The sequence below is a fragment of the Homo sapiens genome, chromosome 17, assembly GCF_000001405.40.
Source record: "Homo sapiens chromosome 17, GRCh38.p14 Primary Assembly".
Lineage (NCBI taxonomy): Eukaryota > Metazoa > Chordata > Mammalia > Primates > Hominidae > Homo > Homo sapiens.
Window position 1 is genome coordinate 29,367,179 of NC_000017.11, and position 16,669 is coordinate 29,383,847.

The 16,669-nt window shown below is 44.7% G+C and overlaps 3 annotated features.

Moving 5' to 3' along the window:
* Positions 2,713 to 3,007: a silencer, noted in NCBI's record as "tiled region #6423; K562 Repressive non-DNase unmatched - State 12:CtcfO". NCBI's record gives its function as "represses a minimal TATA promoter and a strong SV40 promoter by Sharpr-MPRA in K562 cells {active_cell/tissue: K562}" and the evidence as "EXISTENCE:reporter gene assay evidence [ECO:0000049][PMID:27701403]".
* Positions 2,713 to 3,106: a biological region, named in NCBI's record as "Sharpr-MPRA regulatory region 6423".
* Positions 2,847 to 3,106: an enhancer, noted in NCBI's record as "active region_11973". NCBI's record gives its function as "activates an Ori minimal core promoter by ATAC-STARR-seq in GM12878 lymphoblastoid cells {active_cell/tissue: GM12878}" and the evidence as "EXISTENCE:reporter gene assay evidence [ECO:0000049][PMID:35858748]".

Here is a 16,669-nt window from a genome sequence, read left to right on the forward strand (position 1 = left end):
AAACCTGTTGTTCAGGCTGGTTGCGAACTCCCCACCTCAGGTGATTAGCCTGCCTTGGCCTCCCAAAGTGCTGGGCTTATAGGCGTGAGTCACTGCTCCTGGCCTGCTAATTTATTTTTATATTTTGTAGAGAGACGGGTCTCCCTATTTTGCCCAGGCTGGTTTTAAACTCCTCTTGTTTTTTCAGACAGGGTCTCACTGCGTCACCCGGGCTGGAGTGCAGTGGCGTGATCTGGCTCACTGCAGCCTCAACCTCTTGGGCTCAAGCAATCCTCCCACCTCAGCCTCCCAAGTAGCTAGAACTACAGACATGCACCACCACATCCAGCTAATTTTGTTTATTTTTTGTAGAGACAAAGTCTCACTATGTTGCCCAGGCTGGTTTCCAACTCCTCAACTCGAGTGATTCTCCCACCTTGTCCTCCCAAAGTGCTAGGATTACAGAGGTGAGCCACCTTGCCCGGCCTAGATTAGTATTTTTTTACATAGGTCTGGAGACTATGGGCCAGCCGCGGCAACTCACACCTGTAATCCCAGTGCTTTGGGAGGCCGAGGCGGGCAGATCACCTGAAGTCAGGAGTTCAAGACCAGCCTGGCCAACATGGAGAAACTCCATCTCTACTAAAAATACAAAAATTAGCCCGGCGTAGTGGTGGGTGCCTGTAATCCCAGATACTCAGGAGGCTGAGGCAGGGAGAATTGCTTGAACCCGGGAGGTGGAGGTTGCAGTGAGCTGAGATCACGTCACTGCATCCAGCCTGGGAGACAAAGCAAGAAAAAAAAAGAGGAGACCTATGGAGTTTTGAAATAATAAGATATTGAATAAAATGGCATTCATTGGGCAATTGTCTCTTATACAAAATGCCTAAGTAGGGTCTCTATAAAAAACTGTAATTAAAGGGGAGTGAAAACAAACCCTTTGCTTACAGTTTCAGTGGGTTTAATGAAAATTTATTTATATGGATGAGCCAGTCCACCCCACATGCAATTTGTATTTAATGTATTTGGATTTAGAGTTCTTGCAAACAAATTCAAAAACACTAGAATAGATTCATTGTGTCTCCTCTTTTCTATAGGAGAGGCAGTACAACCTAATTGTTAAATTGAGGGCATTAACATTAGACAGACCTGGTTTTGATTCTTGCTCAGCCACTTCCTAGCCCTGGGACCTTAGGCAAGTTATTCAACCTCTCTAGGCCTAGTTTTCTCATTAGTGCTGTGCAGATAACAAAAGAACCTATTTCAAAGGACTGTGTTGTAAATATTAAATGAAAAATTAAAGCATTTAGCCCAGTGCCTGGAAGGCAGTCACTGACACATTCCATTGCAGAAAGACATAATAGAAACAATATAATATCAAACACTTATTATGCCAGCTACTGTGCTAAGTACTTTAAATTCATTATTTCATTTAATCCTTTGAGATAGGTATTATTTCTTATTCGCATTTCACTTGAGGAAAGGGTGGTTTAAGGAATTTCAGTAATCAGAGAACTATAAAAACATCCAGTTAGCACAATCACCCTCAGGTGTGCACGTGTAATTTGATGCAAACATATGCATGCATACAAATGCAAGAATATTTACATACTCATTATTGCCTGTACCATGTTTCCTGGCACTTCCACCTGGATTGATGGTGCTGTAATAACATAGTGGCATTAGTGGAACTGGCTGGAAGAGCACCCACTCAACCAGAATGGGTGTTTTATTGGAAAGAGTGATGCATTGCAAAAGGCCCAACTCTGTCTCTACCTTGCCCTCAGACCTTGAATAAGTCATTTGACTAAATCTTTGGGCCTCAGTTTCCTCATCTGTAAAATAAGGGGGCTGGCTCAGGTCTACTCTAATCAGCTCTGAATCAAAAGCAGCCCTCAATCCTGCCACCTTGTATAGGCAGTTCTATACAAACACACTCGCCCCCATGGCAACGGCCACTCAGCTCTCAGAAGCACTGGTATGCCGCTCTACTCCAGCCAACAGTACTATTTCCATCGCAAATTCCTGGGTGAATAGAGGGCTTGGATGGGGGAGGGATCTGTTCATCAGTAATCTTAAAGCCCCTGGCATTAAAAGAAAGTCTAGAATAAATTGTCTGTGGGTGGTGCATATGTGCTAAATCAGAAACAGCATCAGCATTTAATTCACAATATTATCCTTCTAGGAGGTGGAGGAGCTATCTTAGCTGAGGTGAAATTTAGAGGGTCACTTTGCCACTGAAGTGCTGAGTCAATGAGTGGAGGAAACTGTGACCCAAGTTATTTAAAATTGGGGAGGATGCCAAAAGAACATTGCCAGAGGGTGTTTAAATCAATCTGGATTTTTGAGAAGCAATTCCAGTGTTTATTTCCAAGCTACATAGATAGACTCTCTTATTATCTTATCACAGCAGACACTTATCAGAACTTCATCTTGGAAGCACAGAGGCTGTAGGGCAAATGGACTGAGAATAAAGATGCAAGAAAAAGAGAACATCTCTTTTCAAAAAAAGGAGGAGATATCCTTGAGAAGGCTGCCCTATATCTGCTCTACCCTCTATTTTCAAGCCTTCACCAAGTTGTTTCTAGAGTCTGTTGCTGATAATGGTGAAATGGTGACGATGACAATGATGAATTCATGGCAAGGATTAGCTCTTGCCTTTTCTTCCTCCACATTGCATAGATTTGAGCCAAAGGGGGCACTATTCTTTTATAACTCAGATGAAAAGGAAGTAGATGCTCACTTAAGATAGAGTTTGAATTGCCTTTCTCACAAGGAGTGGTTCCAGGAGAAATGTAATAGGCACTACACTAGGTTTCCAGCTGAGGGCAGCCGTGTTAGCCTTTGCTGACTCCTTACGGCTGCCTACTGAGAGATCTGCAGAGGAAAGGCACTGAAAACAGGCAAACAATGTGAAGGTGGACTGGGAGTTTAGAAATCAGGCTGGTGAGAGTTTCCAGAAGAAGGCTGTCTGTAGTTAGAGACCGACCTGTGTCCATGAGCTGGGGGAATCCCGGAATGAATGGATGGTCTTTGCTGAGGATTGTATGAGCAGCAAAACTTTCTGAGCTATGACGTGCAGGGCAAATCAAAGCTGGCTGCTCCTTACAAACCTGTGGAGTTGGACTTGCTGTTTTTCCTCTTGCCACTAGAGGGTAGAATATGAAAAGAAGATTAGCATGTTTTCATCCTTGCCTAGTTAGCCCTGTAGGAATTCTAAGTGTTAAAGGATAAGAAATCTTGATCTTGCTAACACATATATCTGTCCAAGCTATTTCCTGGCTTACACATGTTCAATGGCTCCCTAAAGTTTCCAGAATAAAGTCTGAGTTGATGAGAATGGCATACAAGCTCTTCCCAAATTCGCCTTGGTCTTCCCTCATAACTCTGCCCTTCAGTCCCCTGCTCTTCATCTACAATACAAATCCTTGGGGAAGTAGTGTGGTAGAAGGAACATAGGTGTCGGAGACAACTGGAAGTCAGTTAATCATCCCAGACCACTTATTTTCCATCAGTACCACATGCAACTCACCACTAATTCCTGTCTATTCTATCTCTTAGAGAAACTCTTTGAGGGCAGGGACCATGTCTACTTTGCTCAAATTTGTATCTTTTTTTTTTTTTTTGAGACAGAGTCTCGCTCTGTCACCCAGGCTGCAATGTGCAGTGGTGCAATCTCGGCTCACTGTAACCTCCGCCTCCCGGGTTCACGCCATTCTCCTGCCTCAGCCTTCCGAGTAGCTGGGACTACAGGCGCCTGTCACCTCGCCCGGCTAATTTTTTTTATTTTTAGTAGAGATGAGGTTTCACCATGTTAGCCACGATAGTCTCAATCTCCTGACCTCGTGATCCATGCACCTTGGCCTCCCAAAGTGCTGGGATTACAGGTGTGAGCCACTGTGCCCAGCCTCAAATTTGTATCTTTACTGCCTAGCACTCTTCATGGGAGCTCATTCAATATTTATTGATCAAAATAATAAATGAATGATTACATCCATAGCACTGTTGTCCTCCTAGTCCAAGTTAATACCATCTCTCACCTGGTCTGCAGTGGGGTCCCAAGTGGTCTCCCTACGTCTCCTTTTGCTCATTACAATCCATTTTATACTCTGCAGCAAGAATGATCTTTCCCAAATGCAATTTTGCTTTAAAACCCTTCAATGGCTTCCCATTGCTCTTAAAATAAATACCGTTATATTCTGAATATGACCCACAAAGTAAATATAATTTCATTTATTAGCAGTTTGGCCACTTGCTAGTTATGTGATTATTAGTAAATTAGTAAATCTCACTGAGTTTTGGTTTCCTCATCTTAAAAATGTAAACAATAGGCCGGGCACAGTGGCTCACACCTGTAATCCCACTTTGGGAGGCCGAGGCAGGCAGATCATTTGAGGTCAGGAGTTGGAGACCAGCCTGGCCAACATGGTGAAACCCCATCTCTAGTAAAAATACAGAAAATTAGCTGGGCGTGGTGACAGGTGCCTGTAATCCCAGCTACTAGGGAGGCTGAGGCAGGAGAATCACTTGAACTTGGGAGATAGAGGTTGCAGTGAGCCGAGATTGTGCCACTGCACTCCAGCCTGGGTGACAGAGCGAGACTACATCTCAAAAAAAAAAAAAAAAAGAGGACCGGCACGGTGGCTGGCGCCTGTAATCCTAGCACTTTGTGAGGCTGAGGCAGGTGGATCACCTGAGCTCAGGAATTTGAGACCAGCCTGGGCAACAGGGTGAAACCCTGTCTGTACTAAAAATACAAAAAAAGAAAAAAAAAATCGGCTGGGCATGGTGGCACATGTCTGTATTCCCAGCTACTGGGGAGGCTGAAGCAGAAGAATCACTTGAACCCAGGAGGTGGAGGTTACAGTGAGCCGAGATTGTGCCATTGCACTTCAGCCTGGGCGACAGAGCAAGACTTCATCTCAAAATATATATATATGAACAATAATTATTCCTACCTCATAGAATTGTTGAGAAGGTTAAATAAACTAATACATACAAAATAATGAGCACAGTGTTCCGTTCTGTGTTCAGTAAATGGTAACTACAGTTTTTAGCACCTGAATGACATAGTCCCTGTATATCTCTTGCTATTCCCCCTCATTTTCTGGCAGTCTCATTAAGTTTCTTTCAGATCCTGGAATCCCATGCTCTTTTTTTTTTTTTTTTTTTTGGTCCAGGCTGGAGTGCAATGGCAATGGCGCGATCTTGGCTTACTGCAACTTCCATCTCCCAGGTTCAAGCGATTCTCCTGTCTCAGCCTCCCAAGTAGCTGGGATTACAGTAGCCCGCTACCACGCCCAGCTAATTTTTTTTTTTTTTTTTGAGATGGAGTTTCACTCTTGTTGCCCAGGCTGGGGTGCAATGGCGCGATCTCAGCTTACTGCAACTTCTGCCTCCTGGGTTCAAGCAATTCTCCTGCCTCAGCCTCCTGAGTAGCTGGGATTACAAGCATGTGCCAGCAAGCCCACCTAATTTTTTGTTTTGTTTTGTTTTGTTTTGTTTTGTTTTGTTTTTTGAGACGGAGTCTCCCTCTGTCACTCAGGCTAAAGTGCAGTGGTGTGATCTCGGCTCACTGCCACCTCTGCCTCCCAGGTTCAAGCAATTCTCCTGCCTCAGCCTCCTGAGTAGCTGGGATTACTCAGCTACTCAGCACGTGCCACCACGCCCAGCTAATTTTTGTATTTTTAGTAGAAACGGGGTTTCAACATGTTGGTTAGGCTGGTCTCGAACTCCTCCCCTCGTGATCCACCTGCCTCGGCCTCCCAAAGTGCTGGGATTACAGGTGTGAGCCACCGCGCCCCCAGCTAACTTTTTGTATTTTTAGTAGAGAAGGGGTTTCACTATGTTGGCCAGGCTGGTCTCAAACTCCTGACCTCAGGTGATCCGCCCACCTTGGCCTCCCAAAGTGCTGGGATTATAGGCGTGAGCCACCGCACCCAGCCTGCCATGCTCCTTTTTATTCCTACTTCTCTATCTGGTCCCATGTGGAGTTTCCTTCCTCTAAGAAGCCTTTCTTGACATCCCATGTCTTGTTCGGATGGCCCTGCAATGGGCTCCCATGGCATCCTAACACTCCTCAAAGCATTTGTTATCTATTCCTTACATAGTGACTGACATTTAGCAATCCTTCAGTAAATATCTGTTGAATCAACTCCAGACACTGCATTTCTCTTTCCCATGCTCTTTGTACATGTTGTTTCTTATTTCTTTTCTAGACAGAACATCATGACTGCTACATCCACATTTCCTTCCCAAGGGAAACTTTCCCACCCACAGCCTCTGTTGAAGAGACAGCCTCTAGGTAGCCATAGTTATGTCCCTTTTGCCTTAGCTGACTGGACCAGAATTGGCATCTGACGCAATGGTGGATAATCCAGGACCTGGCTAGCAATTTCCAACATATCTGGCAATTAAAAAGGAGTAGGTTGATCAGACACTGTCTCTCTTTTTAAAAACTTATTATTTTTTAAAAATATGTGAAATGGGGTCTCACGGTTTTGCCCAGCTTGGTCTCGAACCCCTGGGCTCAAGGGATCCTCCCCACCTTGGCCTCCCAAAGTGCTGGGATTACAGATGTGAGCCACTGCGCCTGGCCCAGATTCTCTTTATTTATTTTATTTTTATTTTATTTTATTTTTTTTGAGACGGAGTCTTGCTCTGACACCCAGGCTGGAGTGCAGTGACGCAATCTCGGCTCACTGCAACCTCTGCCTCCCAAGTTCAAGCGAGTCTCCTGCCTCAGCCTCCTGAATAGCTGGGATTACAGGTGCGTGCCACCATGCCTGGCTAATTTTTGTAGTTTTAGTAGAGACAGGGTTTCACTATGGTGGTCAGGCTGATCTCGAACTACTGACCTCGTGATTCACCCCCCTCAGCCTCCCAAAGTGCTAGGATTACAGGTGTGAGCCACCGCGTCTGGCCTATTTATTTATTTATTTATTTTGAGACAGCGTTTCGCTCTTGTCACCCAGGCTGGAGTGCAATGGCACGATCTCGGCTCACTGCAACCTTTGCCTCCTGGGTTCAAGCAATTCTCCTGCCTCAGCCTCCCAAGTAGATGGGATTACAGGCACCTGCCACCACACCCAGCTAATTTTTGCATTTTTAGTAGAGATGGGGTTTCACCATGTTAGCTAGGCTGGTCTCAAAGCCCTGAGCTCAGGCAATCCCCCGGCTTTGGCCTCCCAAAGTGCTGGGATTACAGGCATGAGCCACTGCACCCAGCCTCTCTTAATGTTTAAATTTTGAGTTAGCAAAAGGAGAGAATGAGCCTTTTTTTTCTTTTTCTTTCTTTTTTTTTCAAACAGTGTCTCACTCCATCACTCAAGCTGGAGTGCAGTGGCACAATCTTGGCTCACTACAACCTCCTCTGCCTCCCAGGTTCAAGCAATTCTCCTGCCTCAGCCTCCCATGTAGCTGGGATTACAGGCACCTGCTACCACGCCCAGCTAATTTTTGTATTTTTAGTAGAAATGGGGTTTCACCATGTTTGCCAGGCTGGTCTACGAACTCCTGACCTTAAGTGATTCACCCACCTCGGCCTCCCAAAGTGCTGGGATTACAGGCATGAGCCACCGAACCCAGCCCGAGGATGCAGCTTCGAATGATAAGAACACAAGCTGAAATGATACCTAAAGAAAAGCTATTAATATTAAGATAAATTCAGAGCCATGAGGAATCAAGGAAACCTACAAGGAAGTAGAAACTATGAGGTAGAGAACATTCATCTGAAAGGAAGAATAAAGAATCAATCAGTACTGGTGGAAGAGGCCCTGCCAGGAGGAAAATAGCTAAGTCATGCTAATGAGTGAACATCAGAGTGAAAACAATAAAAATGCCATCTCTTGCTCTACTGGGCTCTTAGTTTTCCTGAGTTTCTGTGACATAGATCTTTAAAATAAAATTGTTGAACGAAATGAAGCAAGTTATTATTTGCAACCCAGAGTTCCTAAATGATATACCATTTCTCTGTTTTGGGAAAACCCAGCCATCCTCTAAGGGTAAATTTCTGGCTCTCTCCTCTGTTTTCTCTCTTCATTTAGAGAAGCACTTGTCACATTACCTACATATTGGTTTGTCTCTCTTTACCCAGAGAATATCAGGCTGTTAACTCTTTGAGGACAGGTTACATTGTCTGTGTTTCCCAGCAGCATACTGTGTCTAGTAGTAAACTTGATATACAAAAGATGTTCAGCATATAAAACCAGCTACTGTTCTAAGCACTTTATAGATTTGAATTTATTTAATCTTCCCCAAAATCCTCTGAAGTAGATACTCGTATTTTCCTCATTTTACAGATGGGGAAAGGTGAGGGACAGAGAAAGGCTTACGAAAAGTTGCAAAGTAGAAGATTCAATCCAGGAAATTTGGCTCCAGAGTCCCAGAGCTTAACTACTATACTATATAGCCTGAACTAAAGGGGAACGAGGACAGGGAATACTAGTTAATATGAATATTTGAGCACTTATCTAAAAGCACTTTCACACATATTATATGAGGCCATCAAGAGTCTCCTCATTGTGGGAAACTAGCCAGAAGTTCATCCCTGAAATACCATATACTCAGATTCTTCCTATAGGCACAGAAAAATGAAAATCAGTAAAGGGCACATGCAGACTTATTTTGTAAAAAATTCCATGGACACCTGGTAGGTAGGTTTGATTTATAGGCTAATGTCTAAGGGAAGAATTGTATTAGAGTATGAAAACCTTTCATATGGGGCAAAGCAGCTACTTTCTCAGCTATTCCAAGAACTGTGAGTCTCTCCCTAAAGCCAACAATTGAGGGTGTGTATGTGGGGTGGTAGGAAGGGTGGATATAGTGGTGATTCCCTAGTGTATTATTGTTTTTAAAGGAGTCTGGCTTTAGGGAGCTCTTGCAGATGCCTTTATTGGCAGTGTCAACCGTTTCTTTGAGTTGCCATGGCACCCAAAAGACAAAGTTGGGGGGCTGTCTATTAGTGAATGATTAGGAGCCAAATAAAAAGGAAAGTTCTTTGAGGGAAGGCTGGGGTTGTTTGGGGAGCGGGGTGGAGCTGGGTGTTTAAGTATTGATATAGGGTTAATCCAGACAACTCTTGGCATGACCCATACACAAGCAACAAAGACCAGAACAAACAGGAAGGCTTACCTAGGAGCTTTCCAGCATGGTTTCTTCTTCCTAATTGCCTACGTCTAAGAGAGATCTGAGTAAGTGACCAGAGGAGAGGTCTGAAGCTAGCAACTGTTCAGCACTGAAAATGTTAAGTATTAATGGTGCCCTGTAGGGACAAAAAGAGTCTTTGGGCTCCTCAGAAAGTGAGGGAACAGCAGGAGCTGCCTGTACCTGAATAAAATTCACCAGGGAGGTGAGTGAGATTTCTGTTTGGGATGAATTCCTGGTGACACAGCCATATGGCTTTTACTGACTGCCATCCTCCAGACAGTATACTCTTTTTGGGGAGAAGCTAAAGTATACAGAAGATTGTGCTTTCCTCACTGTCATCTTTAATCCCTCCCCCATCATTAGCTGGAACTCTTAAATGAAGACTCAAGTGTCCCAATCTATCCTTCCAGCCTGAATTCCTGCCCAAGATCAAGGGTCCTCCTTCCCTTTCCCCAAGCCACTTCCCCACATCTCTGATTTTCTCCCTAGAGTAGGAGGCTCCAGGGGACCACAGCTGACTCTGCCAGGCACAGAGGGTTGAGTCATTCTGCAGGCGTCAGAGCTGTTAGCAACAGCTCTGCTGATCTGTATGCAGCTCCAACTCCCTCTCCAGTTCAGAGTTTTGGAGCCGTCTTGTTCAAAAGTAAAGAACAGAACACAGATGGCTGGTAACAGGATCCCACAGGGGCCTCCTTTCCCACTGAGCCCATCCTGCTAATCCTTTTACAGAAGACAAAATAAATGGTGAGTAGAGAGAGAGGAAAAAAAAAAAGAGTATCGGCTTCTGCACTGTTCTGTGGGTCCTAGTGGAAGGTCTCTGGTAACAACCCCAAGCTACTCACTAAATTTCCTAGGCATATTCCCTTCCTGATCCTTCTTTCTCTTCATCCACTTCATTTCCCTTCCAATCTCCCATTCTCCAACCCAGTTTCCTTTTCTCTGTAGTATCTATTAATCTGATGGAGTATTTTGCCCAAATGCCTTCTATTTGTGCCAGGCAATTCTAATCCTTATGTGTATAGGACAATCAAAAATACTAGGAGTTCTTGGCTGGGCGCGGTGGCTCACGCCTGTAATCCCAGCACTTTGGGAGGCCGAGGTGGGCGGATCAGGATGTCAGGAGATCGAGACCATGCTGGCTAACACGGTGAAACCCCATCTCTACTAAAAATACAAAAAATTATCCGGGCGTGGTGGCGGGCGCCCGTGTAGTCCCAGCTACTTGGGGGGCTGAGGCAGGAGAATGGCGTGAACCCGGGAGGCGGAGCTTGCAGTGAGCCGAGATCGCGCCACTGCACCCTAGCTTGGGCGACAGAGCGAGACTCCGTCTCAAAAAATAAATAAATAAATAAAAACAAAAGTACTGGGAGTTCAGAGTCGCTCATTTCATCAACCTTATCTCTTGGGAGGTCCCCATAGTTCCTTCTCTTCTACTGAGGTAGCACTGTGCATTATAAAGAACACAGACTTTAGGTCAGGACGGTGGCTCACACCTGTAATCCCAGCACTTTGAAGGCCGAGGTGGGTGGATCACTTGAGGACAGGAGTTTGAGACCAGCCTGGCCAACACAGCGAAACCCCATCTTTACTAAAAATACAAAAAATTAACTGGGCGTGGTGGTACACGCCTGTAATCCCAGCTACTCAGGAGAATGAGGCTCGAGAATCGCTTGAGCCCACGAGGCGGAGGTTGCAATGAGCCAAAATAGTGCCATCACACTCTAGCCTGGGTGACAGAGTGAGACTCCGAACCCTGTTCTAAAAGATACATAAACAGGCCGGGCGCGGTGGCTCACGACTGCAATCCCAGCACTTTGGGAGGCTGAGGCGGGCAGATCACGAGGTCAGGAGATGGAGACCATCCTGGATAACACGGTGAAACCCCGTCTCTACTAAAAATACAAAAACAAAATTAGCCGGGCGTGGTGTCGGGCGCCTGTAGTCCCAGCTACCCGGGAGGCTGAGGCAGGAGAATGGCATGAACCCGCGAGGCGGAGCTTACAGTGAGCCGAGATTGCGCCACTGCACTCCAGCCTGGGCGTCAGAGTGAGACTCCGTCTCAAAAAAAAAAAAAGTACATAAACAAATAAATAAAAAGCTAAAAATTCTGCTCTGCCATTTACTAAAGATGTGAGCTTGGCCAATTTACTTAAACTCTATGAACTCCAGGTATGGCATCTGATGATATCTATAGTAGCATCTACTTTGCCAGCTGGCTTACAGATTAGATAGAGGTAAAACATACTATCTGGAATATAATAGGTCCCCAATAAATATTAATTCTCTCTCTATCCCCCTGTTGCTGTAAGTGCCAGGTCCCTGTTTTCAACAACTGAAAAAAAAAATCTCCCACTGAGAAAGTTAGCATTCACGCTCAATTGCTGCTGATACCAGTGAGGTAAGAGAGTGGGAAGTGTGGGTGAGTTTTGCAAGACTAGAAGTCTTTGTAAAAACTAGCATGTGAATACACTAACGTTGGTTTTCCCCAATATAGGGATTCTTGGTGAAGAGTGCTGGTTTCCTCATGTTGGTGCTGCAGCATGGTTGATACTAATTTATTTTCCTTAGAAAATAAGATGCTGAGGCCGGGCACGGTGGCTCACACCTGTAATCCTAGCACTTTGGAAGGCCGAGGCAGATGGATTGCCTGAGCTCAGGAATTCTGGACCAGCCTGGGCAACACAGCGAAACCCTGTCTCTACAAAAATACAAAAAAAAAAAAAAAAAAAAGAAAGAAAGAAAGAAAAGAAAGAAAAATTAGCCGGGTGTGGTGGCAGGCACCTGTAATCCCAGCTACTCATGAGGCTGAGACAGAAGAATTGCTTGAACCTGGGAGGCAGAGGTTGCGGTGAGCTGAGATCGTGCCATTGCACTCCAGCCTGGGCGACAGAGTGAGAGACTCCATCTCAAAAAAAAAAAGAAAAGAAAATACGATGCTGGTTTGCTGATTGTGTGGCTTTAGGTAAGTTCTTATCCCTCTCTGGGCTTCACTAGAACAAAAGATTACTGCTCCTCTTCACTCCAGGAAATTAAGAGGATTCGTTGAAGTTTGTGTAAACTCCAGGTGAAAAGTTAAGTACAGGATGGTATTATCCTTGGCACTGAGAATCCCGGAAGTGTTTTTGCACAATCAGGTCAAATGCCATTGTTTAGTTTATGTGATTACCAAAGATTCAGCTGACACAGAGTTATGGTTTGACATGGTTCCTTTGTTCCGGATAATAAACATGTGTAATGTCAATTATACTAATGTGTTTTGTTCTAGTCGAAACAAGAAGGAGGCTGGTGATGAGGCTGGGACATCATACTTCATTCTCTCTGACCAGGCGCACTCTGACAACACGTTTTTCCTGTCTCTCTTTGTAACTGGTAATTAGGTTCTCAGCTGAGCTGTTAGGAATCTTGATAGGTTTCCCAGGCAGTCACCATCTGACAATTTACAACTTTGGGCTTTTCACAACTGGCGTGTTCTCTTCCAGGGAACGAAAGTTTCTCAATCTTATGTTCCTCCTATCATTCAAAGAGTCTGATCTGAGAGAAATGCTAGCTTTCTCAATGCATTATCTAATTCCAAAGCAGACTGTTGGGTCTCTTAGCAGTGATGGGGAAAATCTCTGTGTTCATGTGTGTCCTGAGCAATAAGGGTTGCCCCTATGGTGTAATAATGGAGTGAAAGTCATCAAAGCCAGAAGTGGCATGGCAGTATGGGAATTTAACATAGCCTTTCAAAAGGAGAGGAAATAATAGTAAAAATTAGTACAGTTGCTTTTTCTTTCTTTTTAAAAATAGATGGATCACGAGGTCAGGAGAGCGAGACTAATCCTGGCCAACAGGGTGAAACCCCATCTCTACTAAAATACAAAAAATTAGCCAGGCGTGGTGGCACGCACCTGTAGTCCCAGCTACTCAGGAGGCTGAGGCAGGGGAATCACTTGAACACGGGTGGCAGAGGTTGCAGTGAGCTGAGATCATGCCACTGCACTTCAGCCTGGCAACAGAGCAAGACTGTCTCAAAAAAAAAAAAAAAAATAGAGACGGGGGCCGGCCACAGTGGCTCATGCCTAGCATTTTGGGAGGCCGAGGTGGGCAGATCACCTGAGGTCAGGAGTTCAAGACCAACCTGGCCAACATGGCGAAACCCTGTCTCTACTAAAAAAATACAAAAATTAGCCAGGCACAATGGCGCCCACCTGTAATCCCAGCTACTCGGGAGGCTGAGGCAAGAGAATAGCTTGAAACTGGGAGGCGGAGGTTGCAGTGAGCCAAGATCGCGCCATTGCACTCCAGCCTAGGTGACAAGAATGAAACTCCATCTCAAAAAAAAAAACAAAAAAACAAAGAAAACAATTTTTTTAATTTTGTAAAGGTGTGATAATGATATTGTGGTTATGCTACAATAAAGGTCTTTGTTACAGATACATACTGAAGTATATACAGGTGAAATGTTATGATGATTTATAAGAGGTTTATTTAAAAATACTCCAGGGGCCTCGGTGAGGTGGCTCATACCTGTAATCCCAGCATTTGGGAGGCCGAGGCGGGTGGATCACGAGGTCAGGAGTTCGAGACCAGCCTGGCCAAGATGGTGAAACCCTGTCTCTACAAAAAATACAAAAAAATTAGCTGAGCATGCTCTACTAAAAACACAAAAAAATTAGCTGGCGTGGTGGCACAGGCCTATAATCCCAGCTACTCAGGAGGCCGAAGCAGGAAAATCGCTTGAACCTGGGAGGCAGAGGTTGCAATGAGCCGAGATTGTGCCACTGCACTCCAGCCTGGGTGACAAAGTGAGACTCTGTCTCAAAAAAATAAATAAATAAAAATACTCCAGGGGGTGTTGAGTGGGTGTGATGGCTCATGTCTGTAATGCCAGCACTTTGGGAGGACAAGACAGGAAGACTGCTTGAGTTCAGGAGTTCAAGAGCAGCCAGGGACACATAGTGAGACCCCTATCTCTACAAAAAAATTTTAAAAATTAGCTGAGCATGGTGGCACACACCTGTAGTCTTAGCTACTTGGGGGGCTGATGGGGAGGATTGTCTGAGCGCAGGAATTTGAGGCTGCAGTGAGCTATGACTGTGCCACTGCACTCCAGCCTCGATGATAGAGCGAGACCCTGTCTCTAAAATAAATTAAAAAAATAACAAACTCCAGCAGGGAGAATAAAGGTTTATGGGAGAAGAGGTAAAAGATAATGATAAAGTGTTTATACTAGTTGAAGCTAGGTGATGAACACCTGGAAGTTTATTATTTATTGCACTCCTTTTGAATGTTTGAAATTTTCCATAAAAAATTTAAAAAATACTAGGGAAAGCCTGAATCTCTTTCCACTCCCAAATGTATGAAATAACTAGAAGAGAACATTCTTGCTATAACAATTTCAGGAAAATAGATGAGGATTGGAGGGGCATCTTTTAAGGGGTAGGTGAAGGAAGAGGACCCTGCCAGGACAGGAAGGTGGAAGGAAATCTGGTTTTGAGTGGTGTTGAAAAAGCCAAGGAGGAACACAGTTTCAAGATGGAAGGACTGTCAATGACGTCAAATATTGCAGATGACAGGAATAAAACTATTAAATGACTTCACTAGACATTGCAACCAGGAAGTCAGTCTTGACCTTGGCAAGATCAATATTAGTAGAGGGGGGTGGGAAGATAGATAATTTGGAATTCCAAGAAGCTTGGCTATAGACAGGAGAGATGAAAGTAATCTTTCTTTTCTCCCCAAAGAAGAAGAAACTAGGGCATGTTTTTAATGCTGAGGGGGAGTTGCCATTTGAGAGTGGTTGACAACATAGGTGAAGAGAGGAATGACCAACTCAAAGAGCAAGGACCCTTACTACAAGAGGTAGTATTGAGAACAAATCATATACACATCCCATTGAAGCAGATAGCTTCCTTTTCTGATCCTTAGAGTTAATTTTTATTTTTTTATTTTCAAGACAGAGTCTCACTCTGACACCCAGGTTGGAGTGCTGTGGGCCACTGTGGCTGGCTGTGAGCTTTTAAAACAAACAAACAAAAAGCAGGTTTGGTGCAGGGGCTCACACTTATAATCCTAGCACTTTGGGAGGCGGACGTGTGAGGCCTGCTTGAGGCCAAGAGTTTGAGACCAACCTGGCCAATAAAGCAAGACCCTGTCTCTATTTTTATTTTTTATTTTTGGAAACAGAGTCTCGCACGGTCACCCAGGCTGGAGTGCAGTGGCACGATCTCAGCTCACTGCAACCTCTGCCTCCCGTGTTCAAGCAATTCTCCTGCCTCAGCCTCCTGAGTAGCTGGGACTAGTCGCACATTGCCACGCCCAGCTAATTTTTTTGTATTTTAGTAGAGACGTGTTTTCACTGTGTTGCCCAGCCTGGTCTCAAACTCCTGAGCTCAGGCAATCCGCTTGCCTCGGCCTCCCAAACTGCTGGGATTACAGGCGTAAGCCACCAAGCTCAGCCTTTTTTTTTTTTTTTTTTTTTTTTGAGACAGAGTCTTGCTCTGTTGCCCATCTCACTCAAACATGTCTACAGAAGGATGCCTGATAGAAGTGTGGTTTTACAGGCTGGAAAATAAAGCTGATCATGTACGGAGTTGCTTCTTGAGCTCCATATTCTCATATAATGTGATCCATTTTGTGAAAATCTTTTTAAAATGCCAATCCTTTTAAAATGCCCTGCACATGGAGGCAGCATATTCTTCTATTTTAACCTACAAGAATAGATAAATACTGGGCCAAGGTACGTAACAGTTGGTAGAATACAACTTGATATAAGAAAGTCCTGACCTAGGCCGGGCGCGGTGGCTCAAGCCTGTAATCCCAGCACTTTGGGAGGCCGAGGTGGGCGGATCACGAGGTCAGGAGATCGAGACCATCCTGGCTAACACGGTAAAACCCCGTCTCTACTAAAAATACAAAAAAAAAAAAAAAAAAAAAAATTAGTCGAGTGTGGTGGCAGGCACCTGTAGTCCCAGCTACTCGGGAGGCTGAGGCAGGAGAATGGCGTGAACCCAGGAGGCGGAGCTTGCAGTGAGCCGAGATAGCGCCACCACACTCCAGCCTAGAGACGAGTGAGACTCAGTCTCAAAAACAAAAACAAATTGACTTTGGGTTGGGCATAGCGGCTCACTCCTGTAATTCCAGCTACTCAGAAGGCTGAGGTACGAGAATTGCTTAAACCCAGGAGGCAGAAGTTGCAGTGAGCTGAAATTGTGCCACTGCACTCCAGCCTGGGCAACACAGTGAGACTCTGTCTCAAAAAAAAAAAAAGACATTGACTTTGGAGTTCCACTTCCATCACTTACTAATGTCGGTAGCTGCCCTTACTTTGTGTCATTCTCATAACCAAGCTGAGGATTCTTTTCTTTATCTGTAAAATGGGGTTAATATTACCTTCTTCAGAGGGTCATGTGAAGATTAAGTAAGTAAGATTAAGTAACATGTAAGGTGCTTAGCACCATGCCTAGTCCATGGAAAATGTTTTAAAGTGTTAGCTATTACTGTGTATGTGCAAGGAGGTAAATATTCATCCCACTTCTCTGACACTACCCTCTGGCAGGCA